At 47.4% G+C, this 15,195-nt stretch overlaps 1 protein-coding gene across 11 annotated transcripts in view; it reads right to left on the minus strand.

Moving 5' to 3' along the window:
• The window catches only part of PLXNA4 (plexin A4), a 525,349-nt gene that overhangs the window by 431,915 nt on the left and 78,239 nt on the right, over positions 1 to 15,195 (minus strand). Inside the window, exon 2 of one of the 11 annotated variants that reach the window (XM_047421017.1) lies at positions 10,211 to 10,393. The exons of the other annotated variants lie outside the window; for them this stretch is intronic. The gene's annotated coding sequence lies outside the window, so the exon portion shown is untranslated. The remainder of the gene's footprint in view (positions 1 to 10,210; positions 10,394 to 15,195) is intronic. 11 annotated transcript variants of the gene reach the window in all.

The following is a 15,195-nucleotide window of genomic DNA, read 5'->3' on the forward strand; positions in this document are numbered from 1 at the left end:
ATATTTTTAAATCTTTTTTTAAGAGGTCATACTCTGACAGAGAGCCAGAATTAATGCAATGGGACCAGCCACCTGCTCTTCTTCCCTTCCCATTTGCTTATAGAACCTCAAGGCAGTAGACTTGTTGAAGCCCAGTGTTAGAAACAGATGTGACTATTTATAAACCAAGAAAACTGAAGTGTTTTAATCCAACACAGGGTGGCAAGAAGCAGAACTGACAAGCTTTAGGAATCTGAAGAACAGGCAACAATTTTCAATAATATTACCTCTCCACTTATTGAGCATTTAATATGTGTCAAGCAGTGTGCAAGCTATTTCCCACGTATTATGTCACTTAATTGTTAGAGCAGTCCCTTATTTTACTCTTTTAATGATAAGGACACTGAACCTCAGAGAAGACAGGTAACATGCTGACGCCACACAGCTGAGTAGCCAAGGCTTGATGATGTCTGTAAATTACTTTAAAATGCATCAGCTTAAACAGAGTGGTATAATGTAAGTTAGTTCCAATCCTTACCCAAGGATGGTTAGTCGACATCTGAAGTATTGTAACTAACCAGGGCTGGTGACTTAGCCTTTGAAAGCCTTGCATCAGAGTCTACACTGTTTGTTAAAAAACATAAGAGATGTTGGAAACAATTTATCAGCAGGAAATTAAGCAGTGTCGAATATGCATAATTGGTTAGAAATGCCATCCAGGCATCTCTGCCCTTTGGGCACAAGAATCTGGCAAGCCTAGAGCCCTCTGTGGCTCCATTCTTGGCCTAGGGGTCCTACTAGGGTCTATTTCATCTCTCAAAGGATGCTGTCCTCTAATCCCACTAGAAGGTGAGCTGAAACCTGCAACCACATTGCCACATCTGCCTCAAATAAATCTTCCTTGAAATAAACTTGTAAGAGTTACTAAGTCAGTGCCTCCCAAACTTTCTCACTTCCTGACACTTGCAGAAAGTGATAATATTTTTACCACACCCTGGGGCCAGAGAGGGAGCTTCTGCTGCTGCATGCCCCTCGTGCCCTCTGGCTGTCCACCTGCAGGGTTGAGGTGACCCGCTATATCAGCAAACCTTGATACCCTTCCCCGGCACACTAGTTGAGGCAGACAGCAGGATCCACACTGAGCTTCAAAAACAGGCTGTATGGCTATTTATGTGCCTGGTTACTAACAAATATTGGTAGGTAGGGTAGAATTGAGTCTGCAACTTGCTTTTGTAGGAAGGTTGTGGAGGAGAAGGCCCATAGCTCTCACCTGCCTATAATCACTGGAAATGAGTCCCCACATAATCTGCCCATTGGGCATGGCCAAGTTGGCATTAAGTTGGGTTGCAGTGCCAGACCTGTCTGCCTCCAAAGTCTATCCTGGGTCCTGGGTGCTCCCCTGCTTCTGGAGCCTAAAGAAAGTGAATCAATGGTTATTTGTCAAACCCAAAAGGGAAGCTCTTCAGAAAATGCCATGTCAAAGGGTTCCGTCCTTGGCGCTGTGCTGTTTCATACTTTTATCCGTAAGTTGAATGAAGACTGAGAGTCACATTTATCAAATTTGCAACGGACAGATTCCAGGACTTGTGAAGGTCAAATGAGATAATATGAGAGAAGTCATTTAATAGTAGAGTAAGACTCAACCCATTGATGAGGATGAAACAAAGTTTAAGACTATCTTAGCAGCCTGAAACAGGGTCAAAACTGGAACCCCAAAAAGAAATTGAATGTGACAAACATAAATTCAAATTTTAGGCTTCAAAAAATATTAATGAATAAAGTACCAGGTGGCAGAAGTTTGTGTAAGACACACATATAATGAGGGTGGGAGAAGCTTAGAGACCCACTGGTTACGAACCAGCAGTGGGATGGGGGCTGCCCAGAAACCCTGCCACATGAATGAATTTTGACATTGGGCTTTGCTATCCACACCTCCTGCAGATGGTGACCTGCACCTGTGATCAGTCACAAAATTAGATGTGGAGTCAGACCTACCTGCACCATGAGAAGCAATGAGCTCTCCATCAATGTGCAAAGCAGTTAAAAGAGAAGGAACCCTCTATCACGTGCTACTGAAGTTGAGTTGTTCCCATCCCCTGCAAAGGCTCCCAACTTGCCAGCACAGCCAGGATGTTTGGCTCAGAGAAAAGAGGTGGCAGGAGAGTTTATCAAAACCTACAACTTAAGATTTTCTTCACAGAAGATGGAGGAAATGGCGGCAGGGGGGGACGTAAAGATAGGCAATCAATTACCAAGGAGCCCTTGAATAAAAATCTCTTTATTTCCTTGAATTTTCCTTTAATTTATCTTTTTTTTAAAAAAAAAAAAGTTTTCACCTTTGCAAAACCTTTGGACTTTTTGACCAAAGACAACAGGAAGTCAGCCAAGTTTAATGGAGTTTTCATTTTGAAAAAGATGTTATCTGCAGCTCCTCTGTGCCTACCAAGCAATATGGTACGTCTGTGGTCTAGAGACCAACTCATTAGGTGCTCTGTTTACCATCAGCTGGTGAAAAATGATAATTGTATGGAAGAATAATCACCAAGACATGGACATCACTGCCTGCAGACTTCGCCAGGAAGCTACTTCCCACTTCCTGTAGATCCGCAGCTGTTTCAGGATGTGTAATGCCCTCTACTGTCCTACCATTCAAATACTTCTCTTTTCAAGCTCAGAAAACCAAGTTTAAGGTAGGGAGAGAGAGAGAGAGAGAGAGACAATCAAACAACCTTATGTTGGGTCCAGAGGGAACTGCAAATGTGTCTAAGACAATGCCTGCTTTCAAGAAGCTTGCAATTAAGTGGGAATATGAGATGTAAATACTGAAAATACAAGCCAATAAATCATATATTACCAGGAAATTCTTGGCAGGCTGAGTTTTCAGAAAGTCTCTACGTGTACTACTGTCTGCACACAAAAATGCCCAGACCTGGCATGTGGCTAAGTCTACTTGTAAAATTTGTTACCTGGTTAAATGCTGTTCCATGCCTACCAATATTTTTAAGTTTTCAAATATAAGTTTTAGGTGAAAATGCCATTCTTTCAAAACAGTATGTGCTGGAGAAATGACATTTTTTCAAAGCAAATTTTCTATATTTGGTCATGTGATATTCTGTAAGCTTTTTTATAAAGGCTCTTTAGAACATTCCAAAAATGAGCATCATCAAATTAAAACAAGAGAACTTCTATTACATTGCCACAAATCCTAGATGTAAATAAAATACCATTTCACTCAATAATGATTGCCAGAAATATAAATACAGTTTAGAAAAATTATTTAATTAGTTTATTTTTAAGTATTTGCCAAGAAGGCTTCGGTCTTGCTAGTATTAAGTCCTGGGAGAAGGAACAAAGGAGAGTGAAATGAGCTACAGCAACTTCATGCAATTGGGCCTGGGTTTAGCAAAGCTCACTCTCTCTCCTCCACACCCCCAACAATCGGCCTGGGGCCAATGACAGCCAAGATTCTTTGTCCAATTTGACATCATGCACATGGCCAGTACCCCGCCTCTTTCGCCTTTGCCTGCTTTCTTAGATCTTCTCATCCGAGCATAAAGCCAGCAGCCCCTTTGAGGACATCTGATACCCCAGGTCAGTAAGTAGTCTCTAAAATGAAACATAAGAAGGTGGTACAAGAAAAGGGGAAAGTGTAGGGATTCCCTACCTTTGTTGCAGGCTCTGAGACAGCCTTGGAGAGGGCTCAGCTCACCAATCCCAAAGGCCTTACCCGCAGTGGACAGGGGCATGGTGAGGGGATGTAACAAGGACACCCCCGGTGGCGTCAACTGCTCTATTCCAGTCCTGACCACAGATCACTGTGGTTAGGTTACTTTCCTTCTTAGAGCCCCAGGCCTTGACCTCTGCCTCCTAGTAAGGAAACAATGTGCCACCAGATAAACTTGGAGAAACTGCTGAATTCCCTGAGACCAAAAGTGCAGCTCCGTAAATGTATTACATGCCGAGAACAGTTGATAAAATGTACAAGGGCTGGGAAAAGAGGCATGAGGAGGAATGAACAGAAATCCTGCCACCTCTATGGGGTTTTTGAAAGGTTAGAGCTCAAAAACACTTACCCTGCCCCCTGTTTCTCCCCACAAGACAGCCCAAAGCACAAGACAATTTTATTAGCAGCTCTGAGATACCCAGAAGCAATCCAGAGAAGAGGGTAGATCCATCGTTTCACTTGATGTTGTACTGCAATTTTGCAGCTAAAGACATTCTTTGGGCCTGAACTCCCGGGGTCCCTCAGTCTTGAATAACTGGTATAAATGATGCCCGGGCTAGTCAGAGGCCCTGCACTGTCTGGGGCCTCTCCCCATCCCCAAGTCTCACTACCTTCCGCAGCAGCACAGAGGGTTGAAAGTGTCTGGGAAGACTTGAAGGAGTTGAGCATATCTCTCTCTCTAGCACTCTGCTCAAACCAATGGCCTGTTCTCTGCAGTTCCTATGACATGAACACTGTAATGGAACACAGGAGCCCATGTCTACATCTCCTACAACAAATGAAGACCACTAAATTATAAAGCTCTCCTGCAGAATGCAAAGCATCTGTCACTAATATGCTAACCCATTCATTTTTTCCCCATGTATTGGAAAGAGAGAGAACAGATACTGCTTGGGTTTTACTAAGCCCTAGACTGTGTCTGCTATTTTAAAAATACCTTCATCATAGATGTGTGAAGCAAAGATATGAGAAACAGGGGGTAGAACCTGGAGAGGGGCTGCCCCACCTAAAGGCATTCCCATGATAAAAATTTTTCCTTGGCACTTGACACGCCTGGACCAAGCCAACCCTATCTAGTCGCCAGGTCCTACCTGCAGGCTTTGATTGTGCAGACTTTGTCCTACCTCCCAGAATGTGGGATTAGACCAACAGGACATTATTCCTAATGGGCAAGGTCAATATTTTAATCACCAATCTCTTAGCTCATGGTGGAGTTCATTTCCCTAGACCACACTGTTTTGAGCATGCGCTCATTGAAGTTGGAGGCACGCACCGAGGAAGGGAACAAGCAGAACAGAGGCCCAGGTGCGCTCTGTTCCAAGCTTGCTCTATAGCACTCTGGGTGCTACTCAACCTCCCGGGATTGTTCTTTTTCCACTGGAAAGTAGTGGGACTCTCCTAAGGGAAGGTGAATACCTGGGATGCTTTCAGAACAATTTCAAGTACATTGTCCAAGACAGTATGTTTACGCCGAAACATGAACCACTTGAAAAATGCAAGAATCTCTAGGTGGATCTTCTTGCTTCTTTGTCAAGTTTCTGCCAGATCCCAAAAGGAACTCCTAAGTCTGCAACTGGGTCCAGAAGTAAACAGCACTAGGTAAGCATGAAGTTGAAGCTGCCGGGGACACAAGAGCCTTGTATCCGCCGGCCTCCTGGTCACTTCCGCCTGCAAATCCACATATGCCCCAATTCACCTTGTTCAGAAAAGAATGCAGCACTCCTGCCCCACCACTCCCCCGACAGCCTGCCTCAGTCCAGATTTCTCCAGCTCCACTAATGGCATCATCTCCCACCAGCTGCCCAGGCAAGACACCTGCAGGACAACCCCACTGCCCGTTCCTTGCTGCCCACCACCTTCACCGCCATATCCACCATCATCTGTCAGCGCTAATTCCTACGATGCACTTCTCAGATCAGCCCCTTTCTCTCCTTTGCCACCCCCTTTGATCAGCCCCGGCTCAGGATGCTTTGATTTACTGCAATAGCCTGCTTCCAGTTGTTCTCCACGTGGCCCCCGCTGAACCTTGCTACAGTACAAATCTGGTCTTGTTGATTCTCTTCCTTGGAGATCGCCAAGGCCTGACTGCTGCCTGATGGATAAATCCCTTAGCTGGATACTGACACTGGTCCTGGTGCAGCCTCTGCCGTGTTGCCCCTTGCCCCACTTCCCACCTCTGCCTTGAACTCCTGCAGACCCCAAGGGCTGTGCTCTCACCTCTCTGTGCTGCTTCCTCCACGTGGGACCTCTGCTTATGAGTTCACAAAGCCAATCTGAGGGATCCTTCAAAACATCCTCTAAAACTCAACTGGATGCCCCTCTTCCTCCTCCTCCTCCTTCTCCTCCTCTTTCTCCTTCTTCTCCTCCTCTTCCTCCTCTTCCTCCTCCTCCTCTTCCTCTCCCTCCTTCTTGTCCTCCTCCTCCTCTTCCTCCTCCTCCTCTTCCTCCTCCTCCTCTTCCTCCTCCTCCTCTTCCTCCCCCTCCTTCTTGTCCTCCTCCTTCTTGTCCTCCTCCTCCTTCTTCTCCTCCTCCTTTCTCCTCCCCCACCTCCTCCTCCTCCTTCTCCTCCTCCTCCTTCTCCTCCTCCTTCTCCTCCTCCTTCTCCTCCTCCTTTCCCCTCCTCCTCTTCCTCCTTCTCTTCCTCCTCCTTCTCTTCCTCCTCCTCCTCTTCCTCCTCCTCCTTCTCCTCCTCTTCCTCCTTTTCCTCATCCTCCTCCTTCTCCTCCTCCTTCACCTCCTCCTACTCTTCCTCCTCCTCCTTCTCCTCCTCTTCCTCCTCCTCCTCCTTCTTCTCCTCCTCCTCCTTCTCCTCCTTCTCCCCCTCGTCCTTAACCTCCTCCTCCTTATCCTCCTCTTTCTCCTCCTTCTTCTCCTCCGCCTCCTTCTCCTCCTCCTCCTTATCCTCCTCTTTCTCCTCCTCCTTCTCCTCTGCCTTCTCCTTCTCCTTCTCCTCCTTATCCTCCTCCTCATCCTCCTCCTCCTTACCCTCCTCTTTCTCCTCCTCCTCCTTATCCTCCTCCTTATCCTCCTCTTCTTTCTCTGCCTCCTCCTCCTACTCCTCCTCCTCCTCCTTCTCCTCCTCTTCCTCCTCCTCTCCCTCCTCCTTCTCCTCCTCTTCCTCCTCCTCTCCCTCCTCCTTTCTCCTCCTCCTCCTTCTCTCCTTCTCCTCCTCCTTCTCTCCTTCTCCTCCTCCTTCTCTCCTTCTCCTCCTCCTCTTTCTCCTCCTCCTCCTTCTCCTCCTCCTCCTTCTCCTCCTCCTTCTCTTCCTCTTTCTCCTACTCCTCCTTCTCCTCCTCCTCCTCTTCTTTCTCTGCCTCCTTCTCCTCCTCCTCCTTCTCCTCCTTCTCCTCTTCCTCCTCTTCCTCCTCCTCTCTCTCCTCCTCCTTCTTCTCCTTCCTCCTCCTCCTCTGCCTCCTCCTCCTTCTCCTCCTCCTTCTGCTGCTCCTCCTCCTTCTCCTCCTTCTCCTACTCCTTTTCCTCTTCATCCTCCTCCTCCTTCTCCTCCTCCTCCTTTCTCCTCCTCCTTCTCTTCCTCTTTCTCCTCCTCCTCCTTCTCCTCCTCTTCCTCCTCCTTCTCCTCTTTCTCCTCCTCCTCCTTCTCTTCCTCCTTTCTCCTCCTCCTTGTCTTCCTCTTTCTCCTCCTCCTCCTCCTTCTCCTCCTCTTCCTCCTCCTTCTCCTCCTCTTTCTCCTCCTCCTCCTCCTTCTCTTCCTCCTCCTCCTCCTCTCCTCCTTTTCCTCCTCCTCCTTCACCTCCTCCTCCTTTTCCTCGTCCTCCTCCTTCTCCTCCTCCTTCTCCTCCTCCTCCTTCTCCTTTTCCTCCCCCTCTTCTTTCTCCACCTCCTCCTTCTCCTCCTCCTTCTCCTCCTCCTTCTCCTCCTCCTTCTCTTCCTTTCTCCTCCTCCTCCTTCTCCTCCTCCTCTTCTTTCTCTGCCTCCTTCTCCCCCTCCTCCTCCTCTTCCTCCTCCTCCTCTCCCTCCTCCTCTCCCTCCTCCTCCTCTCCCTCCTCCTCCTCTCCCTCCTCCTCCTTCTCCTCCTCCTCCTCCTTCTCCTCCTCTTTCTCTTCCTCTTTCTCCTCCTCCTTCTCTTCTTTCTCTGCCTCCTTCTCCTCCTCCTCCTCCTTCTCCTCCTCCTCTTCTTCCTCCTCCTCCTCTCCCTCCTCCTCCTTCTCCTCCTCCTCCTTCTCCTCTTCCTCCTTCTCCTCCTCCTCCTTCTCCTCCTCCTTCTCCTTCCTCCTCCTCCTCTTCCTCCTCCTCCTCCTCCTTCTCCTCCTCTTTCTCCTCCTCCTCCTTCTCCTACTCCTTCTCCTCTTCATCCTCCTCCTCCTTCTCCTCCTCCTTTCTCTTCCTCCTCCTTCTCTTCCTCCTTCTCCTCCTCCTCCTTCTCCTCCTCTTTCTCCTCCTTCTCCTCCTCCTCCTCCTTCTCCTCCTCCTCCTCTTTCTCCTCCTCCTCCTCTCCCTCCTCCTCCTTCTCCTTCCTCCTCCTCTTCCTCCTCCTCCTCCTTCTCCTCCTCCTCCTTCTGCTGCTCCTCCTCCTCCTTCTCCTCCTCCTCCTCCTCCTGCTGCTCCTCCTCCTCTTTCTCCTCCTCCTCCTTCTCCTACTCCTTCTCCTCTTCATCCTCCTCCTCCTTCTCCTCATCCTTTCTCCTCCTCCTTCTCTTCCTCCTCCTTCTCTTCCTCCTTCTCCTCCTCCTTCTCCTCTTCCTCCTCCTTCTCCTCCTCTTTCTCCTCCTCCTCCTCCTTCTCCTCCTCCTCCTTCTCCTCCTCCTCTTCCTCTTCCTCCTCCTCTCCCTCCTCCTTCTCCTCCTTTTCCTCTTCCTCCTCCTCTTCCTCCTCCTTCTCCTCCTCCTTCTCCTCCTCCTTCTCCTCCTCCTTCTCCTCCTCCTCCTTCTGCTGCTCCTCCTCCTCCTCTCCTCTTCCTCCTCCTCCTTCTGCTGCTCCTCCTCCTCCTTCTCCTCCTCCTTCTCCTCCTTTTCCTCGTCCTCCTCCTCCTCCTTTTCCTCCCCATTCTTTCTCCTCCTCCTCCTTCTCCTCCTCCTCCTTCTCCTCCTCCTTCTCCTCCTCCTTCTCCTCCTCCTTCTCCTCCTTTTCCTCCCCCTCTTTCTCCTCCTCCTTCTCCTCCTCCTCCTTCTCTTCCTCCTCCTCCTCCTCCTTCTCCTCCTCCTCTTCTTTCTCCTCCTCCTTCTCCTCCTCCTCCTTCTCCTCCTCCTTCTCCTCTTCCTCCTGCCCCTCCTCTCCCTCCTCTTCTCCTCCTCCTTCTCCTTTCTCCTCCTCCTCCTCTTCCTCCTCCTCCTTCTGCTTCTCCTCCTCCTCTCCTTTTCCTCCTCCTCCTCCTTCTGCTGCTCCTCCTCCTCTCCTTTTCCTCCTCCTTCTCCTTCTGCTGCTCCTCCTCCTTCTCCTCTTTCTCCTCCTCCTCCTTCTCCTCCTCCTCCTCCTCCCCCTCTTCTTGCTCCTCCCCCTCCTTCTCCAGGAGCCCTTCTTCATGTCCTGCTTTTCATAACTGGATGGGTGCCCGTCTTCCTATTCCCAGAGCACCCTCTTCATGCCCCAGTCTCACTCTCTGACACATTGCATGTAAATTCTCTATTCCCACGTATGTTGTGGCCACACTAAGCTGTGAACTCCCTGCTGACAGAAGTAGGTCTTTCATCTCCACACAAATTCTCACATAGTGCCTAGCACACAGTAGGCACTCAATAAATATTGCTTGAATTGACTGATTGCTTGATCAATTGATTAAATATTTCATAACATCATATCAACCTCTCTTACTAAAATATGCAAATATATGTGCATGGCGCTTGGTGAAATGTAGGCATCGAGGAATCTTACGAATCCTTTTCTTTTTCTGCAGTCCCCAATTGAACCTACTACTACCAGGATGGAGATCCCCCCGGGGACCCAGGCCTCTGGACTCCTGCACTGACCATCCCCTGCCACTGTCTCCTGCCATCCCTGCTGCATTCTCCTTTCCGACCTGCCATCCCTGCTGCATTCTCCTTTCCGACCTGCCATCCCTGCTGCATTCTCCTTTCCGACCCTCTGCATGTGGTTTTTATCCCTTACACCTCCTCACCAGATCAGCAAACACACGGGAGCCGGCAAGGTGTGATGTGAGGCCTAAGCTCAGTTTTCATTCTCTTTGTCTTGATTTTCTTTCACCTTGTGTGTAAATAGACTCTTTCTTCTGATGCTCACCCAACCCTTTAATATGCAAGGCCACATTCATCCTCACCTCCTGGGCTGCAGACGCGAAACAGCAAGGGCTTATTCCTGGCTTTAAAGAGGAGAAACTGAGGCCTAGCCCAGAGAGGGGACTTGCTGAAAGACATTCAGTATACCTAGGATTAGAAGCTCGGTCTCTGTATTCCCTGGCCAGTATATAATACCTCTTCAATTGCTCTGAAAATGAAAACCTCAGGATTATTTTGCAGGAGGAAACAAAAATAGGCCTGGAAAAACCACAGCCACATTTCTGACAAGCTCCATTCAGAGGGCACCATAACTTACATAAATGATTTCCTATTACACCGCAATTGTCACTGCAACACGACAGTCTTGCAGCTTCCTTGAAGTGTTCTCTTTGTTGTTTTTTGTAAAGATCCTCCAGAAAGAAGAATCAAATATGGTCCAAGCAGGGAAACAAAGCACATGACATCCGCAGACCCAGATTCCCCTTCCGCATGATTCTTTCTGAGGACCAAAGAGAATGCCATGAATAGTCCCCCGTGGGCCTGAGCCCTCTCCCACCTGTCTTCCTCCCAAAGCTCTGCTATATCCTTGCAAATAGGATTCCTTTTTTTGAAAAAAGAAAAAAAAATGAAAGCCAATGGTTTATGAAGAAGAAATGAAGTGGCAATTTCCCAGCATGGCTGGGAATCAATACAAGCTGTTGTCAGGGTTTTCCTTTCAAAGGGTGGCTGCCACACTTCTCCAAAGTCAAGAGCGACAGAGCTCCAGTGCTTGACTTACAACTGCTTCATCATAGCAAGATATTTTTAATTTAAAACTCACTGCAGTTGGGTTCGAACTCAGCTGGGACTTGATTTACTGCTAATTCATTTCTCTGATTCCTATAATTCTAAGCTCAGTCACCAAACAGTTTAATGCTGATAGAATCACCAGTGCAATGCTTTATGAATGGGCGTCAGGGGAATTTTGTTAGTGTGTGTTAGCAACTGTTATTCACTCTGGAAAGGAGCACCGTGCCTGCACCAAGCATGGGGGGGCTCTATAATTGGGCACGTGAATTACCAGTATCCCCAAGTGATTCAAACCCAAATACCACTGAGAGGGTACCCCCTTTTACCCCAACCCACATACACACTCCCACACTCTCCCTCTCTCTCTCACACACACACACATACAATCATTACCTATGTGAGATGAATGCCAGGCAGTGAAAACGCTTTCCATGGGAAATGCCTAACTTCACTCTCCAGGTCACTACCCAGTGGTGGAAACCATGGATTTACAGTCTAATTAGAAATCCTCAGCCTTTTCTTGGATGGCAAAGTTTTCTCTTCCCAAGAGAAAATTTGTTTCAACCGTCCAAAGTTTAGGGAGATGTGTCTTAATAACTCAAGCTTCCTTTGTTAATTTGATAAAGAACATTTATCTTTGTCAGTTATATTGAAGCCTCTTATTCAAGCAGTTGGAGAAAAAAAAATTGAGAAGGTGAATGTCATTACTCACATATTTTGCAAACATCCATCTTGATCTGTTATGTGCAACCAAAAAGTGCCACTTGTGGGAAACATGTCCACAAACCTGTCAGAGTGGCATTCACACTTTTTGAATTTGTTTCTTTATGAAATATACACCTGAAGGCAGATCACAAGGCCACTGTCGCTAAAGTTTTGTGAGAATTCGCAGTCATTTCTGGGAGTCTCAAAAGCAAATGACAAGGACAAGAGGCAGGCGGTGCCTCTGAAAGTTGGGGTCACAAGTCCCTACAAGTCCCTATTTTATCAGTACAGTGAATTCATTCTTCTGGTTTTTTCACCTCTGAAGTAAACCAAAACTTGAAAGCTTCCAGTTGAAGGTCACCATCTCCCAAAATGCCTTTCTATGGAACCGTCTTTCCAGGAGACATCAATAGGCTTAAATACTCCCACACAAACGGATCCCCATGGCCCAATAACCTGAAAAGCAGTGGGCAAAGAATAAATAGGTTTCCCAACAACAGGTCTTCTTCACCTTTAATTCGCCCTTATGCATCTCCTGAAGAGGACAAAAGAGAGGATGCTTGCAAAACTTACTTGGTCACAGAATGCTCTTTCCATGGAGGATTTTATAGACTAGTCTTTGGAATGTTCTGCTAAATTCAGCTTGGTCTCCCCCCCACCCCCCGCCGCAATCTATCAGTGCCAAAACCCATAGTGAGTTTTACACAGAGAGAAATAATTTAATTCCATGTGCATCCATGTGCAAGACCACTGCACCTACCTGTCCCCAACCACTATGACCCAGGATGCTGGAGGGTAACTGAGGGGCTCAGCCTGTACCCATCTGGATTCATCTGAATCCTCTGGAATAGCCAGTCAGTCTGACTTGATGTGATCCCTACTCTGTCCCTGCTGCAGAGTAAGAACCCACCATATTAGTCTGGTTCACCCTAGCCTTGATATTTTTAAGGTCATTCTTCTCCACCTTATCCTACTCCATTTATTCCTTCTATTTTTACAGCAAATATTTATCAATTGCTTCCAGTAAGATAGGCTCTGGGTTGGGCAATGAGTATACAAGAAGTAAGAAATGATCCCTCTCAACCTAAAACATAAAGAAATACATGATTCCCACTGTTTTCATTGCCACTGCCAGTAGCAGCTTCTTCACCATTATTAAAAAGCATGAATTGAGTTACTGATGAAACAAAAAACTGCTTGAAGCAGGGGCTGACCCTACCTTCTGGGAGCTGCAACTCTCAGGCAGAAACCCTAATGCAGGCCCACGTCTCTAGGTCAGTGATTTGCTCACATCAATCAGTGGTTAGGGGCAAGTGCATTTAGGGAGGAAGATAGGGTCAGTATCTAATGGACAAGAGAGCAGGGAAAGAGGTCACAAGCACAGCATGACCATTAGTCCTCTCCCCAGCCTGACCCTAAAGGGCCTTCAAAGCACAAGAGTAGTAAAAAACGTTGATGAGGGGCAGGACTAGCTAGAAGCAATGACTTACAGGAAATATTTTATGCAGAAATGTCCCCTGTTGCATTATATTTCAGTGCTTTCATTATTTCTTAAAACTGGGAGGGTGGCAGAGGTCATTACGACCTCCCCCTGCTTCCCAGCAGCCGTGCCATCCCTGAAATAGTCACACACCACTATGCGGAAGGCTGGCTGTTGCTTAGTAAGCCCCAAAACATTAGAAAAGTCTTCAGAAATCGGATTGGCACCCATTCTTAATGTGGTTTCTATTTGGGGTTTAAATGGGATAATAGTGTAGTCGACTAGTGTTGACACAGACTCGTGAATTCTGGGGCTCCTAATTGGAGTACCCTGCCCTGTCTTGCCATCTGACTCTGTTCTGAAGAACTTTATGTTCTTTGCATGGAAACCATTATCCCAGACTCCCAATTTATGTATCTGCCCAAATCTGCTGAGTCCCACCTGACATCACGCCACCCCACCCCAATTCTGAACTGCAGCCATTTTCCTGTTGAATCCTTGTTATCATTGCCACTGCCAGGAGCAGCTTCTTCACCATTATTAAAAAGCAGGAATTGAGCTCTTGATTAAACAAGACACTGCTGGAAGCAGAGGCTGACCCTACCCTCTAGGAGCCGCAACTCTCAGGCAGATGCCCTACCGCAGACCCACGTCTCTAAGTCAGTGAGTTGCTCACATCAATCAGTGGTTAGGGGCAAGCATATGTATTTAGGGAGGAAAACAGAGTCAGTATCTAATGGACAAGAGGCCCCCAGTGACGCTTTCTGCTGTTCCTCTGGCCCTAAAGTTCTTGCTGTCTTTTCTTCCTTCAGAGTCAAAGGCTGGGCTCCTGCAGGGGTAACCCTGACATACCTTCTGCAGGGAGAGCCAAGGAAGCCCCAGCCCCAGGGCCTGACCCACAGAGGCTCTAGCTTGACCTGGTATTCCCAACCCCAAAGTGAGGGGAGTTGACTCATGCCTCGTGGGGTGACTTGTGACCAGTGAGCTACAGCAGACCAGAAGGACCTGTGGATTAACTGCTGGCTGTGCCTCACCACCACAGACTATTCTGAGACATACTGTTCACACCAGGCTTCCCTGGATACCTCCTGAGTGACTGAGCCACCAGCTGCTTTTCACTGGGAAGGCAGGGCCAGCTTGGTAATACACTATTTGTTCTCCTTCCTTCCCTACCTCTCCTCCTTTGCTTCATTTTTGCTTCCCCGGGATCTCACCCCTCAATAAAGTCATAACACATAGCTTCTTCCTTGAGCTCTACTTTCTAGGGAACCCAGGCTGTGACTGGAGTGAAGGACAGACAGGCAGGGGCACAAGGCCCAGGCCCTCCATAGTTTTGACAAGAATAGTCCTGCTTGCATCTGTTCTGTGCACTGGAATTCCATATAAAATTTCACTGGAGCAAAGATTTTCACTGTATACATGTTAAAATATGTTTAATCACCGATCTAGACTAACCTCCTCATTTTATAAACAATAAACTGAAACATAAAATGATTTTTCCCAAAATGCTTTAGTTAGAGTTATCTACATCTATTTGTATCCAAAGCCTAGCTTTTTCCACAACAGTGGTTTTTAAGCAAGGGGACATATTGGAATCATCTAGGAACCTAAGAAAATGGACACGTGCCTAAGTAGCTGTCTCTTTCCTTGGAAAGACAAGGGACAGGATAGGCTCTGAAGAAGGCTGAGCAAATGCTGAGGCCAGAGGTGGACTCTGTACCTATCTGGCACAATTCTGCTTGAGAATCTATTGCTCACACAATCACCAGAATCCAGTACTTGGTTTACGTAATGCAAAGGTTCAGTGGAAATTTTCACTGTAGAAGCCACCCCTTTATTCACATTTGACAGTAGTCATAGCAAAGTGCTTGTCTTAGTCCAGTGTTTCTCAGTGGATTCCAGGTCCACTACACAGTTTATATACTTTTGTGATTTCACAATCCATGTGAGTGTATTAAAGGCTCTGAGAAGTCCTGCAGCAAGGAGTATCTTTAGCTTTGCTTTACACCCAGGGTTTTGCAAACTTACTTGACTGCGGAAACTTTTTTGCATGTAATGCCTATTGACTCCCCCGCAGAATATACTTTGGGAAACTCTAGTCTATTTTAAGTATTACTTTCAGGAAAGCAGGCCTGAGATGGAGAGGAAGAAAACGAACTCCAACTGACTCTAGCAACATTAGCTGACATTCCAGGCAGGCTGCTTCAGTTGCACATCCTGACGTCTGCTACTGTCTCCTCTCTCACTCTCTAACCCCGCCACAAGAACGGAAGCAATCCACCAGCTATGCCTTGCTTACTTCTTTCCTCTTGGCCTCTGGGTCAAAG

This window comes from Homo sapiens, chromosome 7 (genome assembly GCF_000001405.40).
Source record: "Homo sapiens chromosome 7, GRCh38.p14 Primary Assembly".
Taxonomy (NCBI): domain Eukaryota; kingdom Metazoa; phylum Chordata; class Mammalia; order Primates; family Hominidae; genus Homo; species Homo sapiens.